Genomic DNA, 6,000 nt, shown 5'->3' on the forward strand with positions numbered 1-6,000 from the left:
TTGGCTTTCTTTTTTTTTTCCCAAAATCTGAAGTAGTGTTTCTTTTGACCTTACCGTTACTGAAAGGAGAACAATATGGCTATAAAAGTAAGTGCAGCGTCTCTAAGAAATCCAAGTGTTTAGCAAATCAAATACAACATAAGGTACATTAAGGTTTTATTAAAATCTCATTTATTGGCAAGAGTTGCTTCTTTCTGAAGAGTTCTAGTCTGCCTCTCAAGAATTAATCTGATGTTTTCCATTTGTTTTATAGTATGTTTTTTACCCTTTTCCTCACACAGGTCTCATACCTTTATGAAACTTTTCCCTTATGACTCTACTTCAGTGTCGTCTTCCCAGAGAACCCAACCAGTGACATCCTGAAAGCATATGCTGTGAGCTTTGTGAGAGCTGGGACTTAACGGCGGTTTTGTTCAGGGCTCTGTTTCCAGTGTCGTGCTCCGCAGACGACATAAAGCAGGCACTGGATAGGAATGTTGAATGTTAAATGAATGAACAGCATCCATGCTTATGGTCAACAAACCTAGTGGCCTCTGAGTGTCATGATGAAGAGCACTTGTTCTGGAATCTGACCATATGAGTTCAGTTTGGCTCAGTTGCTTCCCAGTTTGTAACATTGGATGAGTTCATTAACTTTTCTACTCTTTTATTTTTTCATGTGTAAAATCAGAACCATAGTTGTATCCACAAGATAGTTTTTCTTAAATTTGTATTGTTTTATCTTGTTTTTGAAGATTAAGTGAATTGTGAAGCACTTAGGATAACACTGAGCAGATAGATGTTCTCAATTAAAGTCAATGATACTACACAGTATGAATGTTTATGGTGGCAAAGTGCTCACTATCTGATTAGGTGATTCTTACTAGTTTTAGAAGTTTTCATTTCTAGAATGACTTTTCTGCCCTCTCCATCAATATACTTTATTATAGAAGTCTGTTCATTCTCTTTAAAAAACTTAGTAGTCTCTGAAATAAACTTGCTTTACAAAATCTATACGGAGGGAAATTTTCCATCTTGTTTAGTGTTATATCCCCACTTCAAGAAGAATAATTAACATGTAATAGTTGTTTAATACATATTTATTTAAAGAATGCATTGAGTAAATTGTTTAAGTTTTATTTTTATGTTATGGCAAATTTGACCTCATAATTGTATCTATCAGTTCTATCTCAGCTCCGTGGAGCAAAAGATAATGGCTTTAATGCCTTTTATTTTCTTTTTAGCTATTCACATTTTTATTTGTTATTTTTAAAAATTATTCTTAATTTTTTGGTGTACATAGTAGATGTATATATCCTTATGGGGTACATGTGATATTTTGATACTGGCTTTAATGCCTTTTCTATATGACAATTTATTGGACATTTGAAGAAACGATCTTTCCTTTATTTCTCTATTCTTTACGTTTTCCTTATGATTGTGTGTGTGGTGGGTGGGGGTAGGTAATGGAAGATAATATGAATATAGAAGAAGACATAGAGAATTCCTAAGATGGGGCGGGCGTGGCGGCCCACGCCTGTAATCCCAGCAATTTGGGAGGCTGAGGCAGGCAGATCACATGAGGCTAGGAATTCAAGACTAGCCTGGCCAACATGGCGGAAACCTGTCTTGACTAAAAATACAAAAATTAGCTGGGCATGGTGGCACACACCTGTAATCCCAGTTACCTGGGAGGCTGAGGCACAAGGATCACCTGAGCTGGGGAAGCAGAAGTTGCAGTGAGCTGAGACCACACCACTGCACTCCAGCCTGGGTGACAGAGTGAGACTCTTTAAAAGAGAGAGAGAGAGAGAGAGAGAGAGAGAGAGAATTCCCAAGAGTGAATTTCCAGCTCCAAGAGCTTTAAAGTGTCATGTGAAGTCACTGAAGGAAGAAGACTTTGGAGAGTGGTGTTCCAGTAATAATATCCGGCCGTTAGAATAGTCTCCTAAACCACAGAAAAATATATACCAGAAGAGTATCTAATTCAAGAAAGAGGAAGATATGTAACCCAGAAAATGCAATCAGGTCTGCCATACGGAAGCAAATAGATGGCATCTGTATGGCAGACCTGGAGAGGACAGAGGGGCTCGGGGGGAAGATGTACTAGTCATTTACCTATGGGTCCTTGGCTCCAGATCCATATTCCTGTACTCAACTTTGTGATGCTTAGGTTAGGACTGTACAAATTGTATTTCAGAGACCTATTTTTCAGCACTAGAGAAATATTAGGAGGTAAAAGAAGAGGAGCTGGGTCTTCCTATTTATTGCTATTTCTGTCAATATCAATCTACAGTGGTAATTCATTTCCACATTTGGCAGCTGAATAAACACTATTGGGAAAAAATATACACCTGCTTTTTAAAAGTCATTATTATTTAAGTTCTCCCTATCCACCTGAATAGCACACTGTTCAAAGCTCATATGCCATTGCAAAAATAATTCTAAAATTTGTTTGGAACCACAAAAGCACCTGAATAGCCAAAGCAATTTTGACGAAGAAGAAAAAACATGAAATCACACTTCTTGATTTAGAATTATACTACAAAGCTATAGTGATCAAAACAGTATGGTATGGGCATAAAAACAGACACATAGACCAATGAAACATACTAGAAAGCCTGAATATAAACCCAAGCACAAACAGTTAACTAATTTTTCCCAAAGTCACAAGAAAAACAAAATGAGACAAGGATAGTCACTTCAATAAATGGTGTTAGGAAAATTAGATATCCACTCGTAAAAGGATAAAATTGAATCCTTATCTAACACTAAACATAAAAACTACTCAAAGTTGATTAAAGGCTTAAACATAAGACCTGAAACTATAAAATTCCTAGAAGAAAATATAGGAAAAAATACTCCGTGACATTGGCCTTGCCAGTGATTTATTTGATATGGCACCAAGATCCCAGGCAATAAAAGCAAAAATAAGCAAGAGGGACATCAAACTAAAAAGTTTCTGTATAGTAAAGGAAACAGTCAACAAAAAAAGACAACCTATTGACTAGGAAAAAACATTTGCAAACTATGTATTTTACAATGGATTAATATCAGAAAATATAAGAAACTCATACAATGGCAAAAAACAAACATGCAAACAAACAAAACCAAACAAAAAAACACACCTGATTTAAAAGTGGGCAAATGACCTGAAGACATTTTCCAAAAAAGGCATATAAATAACAGGTATATGAAAAAGCACTCAACATCACAAATCATCAGGGAAGTGCAAATCAAAACACAACGAGGTCACCTTACAGTTGTTAAGATAGTTATTATCAAAAAGATTAGTATTGGCAAGGATGTGGAGAAAAGGCAACCCTTGTATACTGCTGGTGGGAATGTAAATTGGTATAGTCACCATGAACAACAGTATGTATGTTCCTTAAAACATTGTAAGTAGACCTACCATAGGATCCATCTGGGCATATGACCAAACCTTATGAACTCAGTATGTCAAAGAAATATCTGCACTCCCACATTCATTCCAGTATTATTCACAATAGCCAAGATATGGAAGCAACTAAAGTGTCCACTGACGATTAATGGACAAAGAAATTGTGGTATATATACATATAAATACACGCATACACACAAATGTTATTCAGCTTCAAAGAAGGGTGATCTTGTTATTTATGACAACATGGATAAACCTGGAGGACATTATGCCAATTGAAATAAGCCAGACACAGAAAGAAAAATACTGCACCATCTCATGTACCTGTGGAATCTAAAAAATGGGTAAATAGAAGCAGGGTAAAGTGGTTACACCAGGGCCGAGGAGGTGGGAGAAATGGGAATATTCTGGTCAAAGACTGAATAAGTCTAGAAATCTAATGTACAGCATGATGGCTGAAGTTAATAATACTGTATTGTGTACTGGAAATTTGCTGAGAGTAGATTTCAGGTGCCCTAACAACACAACACATAAAAAGGAAACTATGTGAAGACATTAATATGTACATTACTTGACTGTAAAAGTCATATATATATATATATATATATACACACACACACACATATACATATATATATACACATATATATATACACACACACCATGACTGTATACAATTTTTATTTAAAAATAAAGTAGCAATATGTGAGGGAGAAAGGCTCATATGCTATTAGACAAGCCTTCCTTACAAGCATATAGGAAAATAAAACAAGAGTTTAGCATATCTAGAAACTTTGTTATGCATGCATGTAAGTATATATGTATTTATTTGTTTCCTTGTATTTTGATTCTAAATAATCTGAGTTGGCACAAAATTTGAGAGTTTAACTTCATAAAACATTTTATTTAAAAAACAGAGTCCATATTGACACATATTATTTAAAAAACAAATTAATGATGGAGAGTAGACAACTCTCCCCTGCAGAAGAATTCTAAATAATTTATGTAGGTATTCCACCCTTAAAAAGGTACAGAATAACTGTTATCTTAAGTGTGGACTGTTCATAGTGACATTTTCTCAGGGAGCACAGTATGGAAAGAGGTGGAAAAGATTAACTTTATAATGGAGAGTATGACAAACAGTATTTCAGTGAAGAGATTAAAGTAAATATAAATGGTTATTAGTCATCTTGATCATGTGTATCCTTGATATACTGTGATGAAAATGGCACTTCATGCCTTTGGTCATTCTTCCAAAATACCATAATTTTATTCTAATTATGATTTTTTTAAAAATCTGTAAAACCTCAGTTGAGGGACATTATACAAATACCTGACCAGTATACCTCCAAACAGTCAAGGTTATCAAAAATAATAAAAAAAAACAAGAAAAAAAGTTTTATTTATTTATTTTAACTTTTATTTTTAAGTTCAGGGGTACAAGTGCAGCTTTGTTACACAAGAAAAATAACTTAAAAAACAAGGTCATCAAAAATAAGAAAAATCTGAAAAAATTTTCATAACCTAAAGGAGCCTAAGAAGACATAATGACTAAATATATGATATCCTAGATAAGATCCTGGTCATGGGGAACAGACAATGGGTAAAATCTAAGGATATCTCAATAAACTATGGAATAGAAAGTTTAATCAAAAATAAGCTGAAGTCCCCAAAAATGTTTTTAACAAGAATATTCTTACATTTGTATTTTTGTCCTTGTTACTGTTTACAATTCCCCTTTCCATGATCTTTTGTTAATTGATACATAATAATTGTACATGTTTATAGGGTGCATGTGCTATTTTGATACATACATAGCATGTGTAATGCTCAAATCAGGGTAATTAGAATATTCATACCTCAAACATTGATTACTTCTTAGTGTTGGGAACATTTAAAATCTTCTTTTCTAGCTATTTTTCAATATACAATAAATGATTGTTAACTGTAGTTATTTACCCTAGTGTGCTATCGAACACTAGAACTCATTTCTTCTGTTTTGTTTAAACAACCTCTCTTCTTTTCCCTTCTCTCTCTCTCTCTCTGTCTCTCTCTCTCTATATATATATATGTGTGTGTGTATGTATATATATGTATATATGTATATATATGTATATATGTATATATATGTATATATGTATATATATGTATATATGTATATATGTGTATATATATGTATATATGTATATATATATGTGTATATATGTGTGTATATATGTATGTATATATGTATATATGTATATATGTATATATGTATATATATATAACTCACATTTAAAGATAATTTGTTTATGCATTGGTAGACACTTAGGCTGATTCCACATCTTTGCTATTATGAATAGTGCTCGATCAACATCGGCATGCAGATTTCTCCTCGATATACTAATTTCCTTTTATTTGTATATATATACCCAGCAGTGAGATTACTGGATCACATGGTAGATTTATTTTAGTTTTCTGAGGAAACTCCATACCATTTTCCATAGTGACTGTACTAATTTACATTTCCACTGGTAGTATACTAGAGTTCCCCTTTCTCCACATCCTCATCAGCATTTGTTATTTTTTTCTCTTTTTGGGAATAGCCATTTTAACTGGGGTAAATGATATCTTATTGTGTG

The sequence above is a fragment of the Homo sapiens genome, chromosome 11, assembly GCF_000001405.40.
Source record: "Homo sapiens chromosome 11, GRCh38.p14 Primary Assembly".
Classification (NCBI taxonomy): domain Eukaryota; kingdom Metazoa; phylum Chordata; class Mammalia; order Primates; family Hominidae; genus Homo; species Homo sapiens.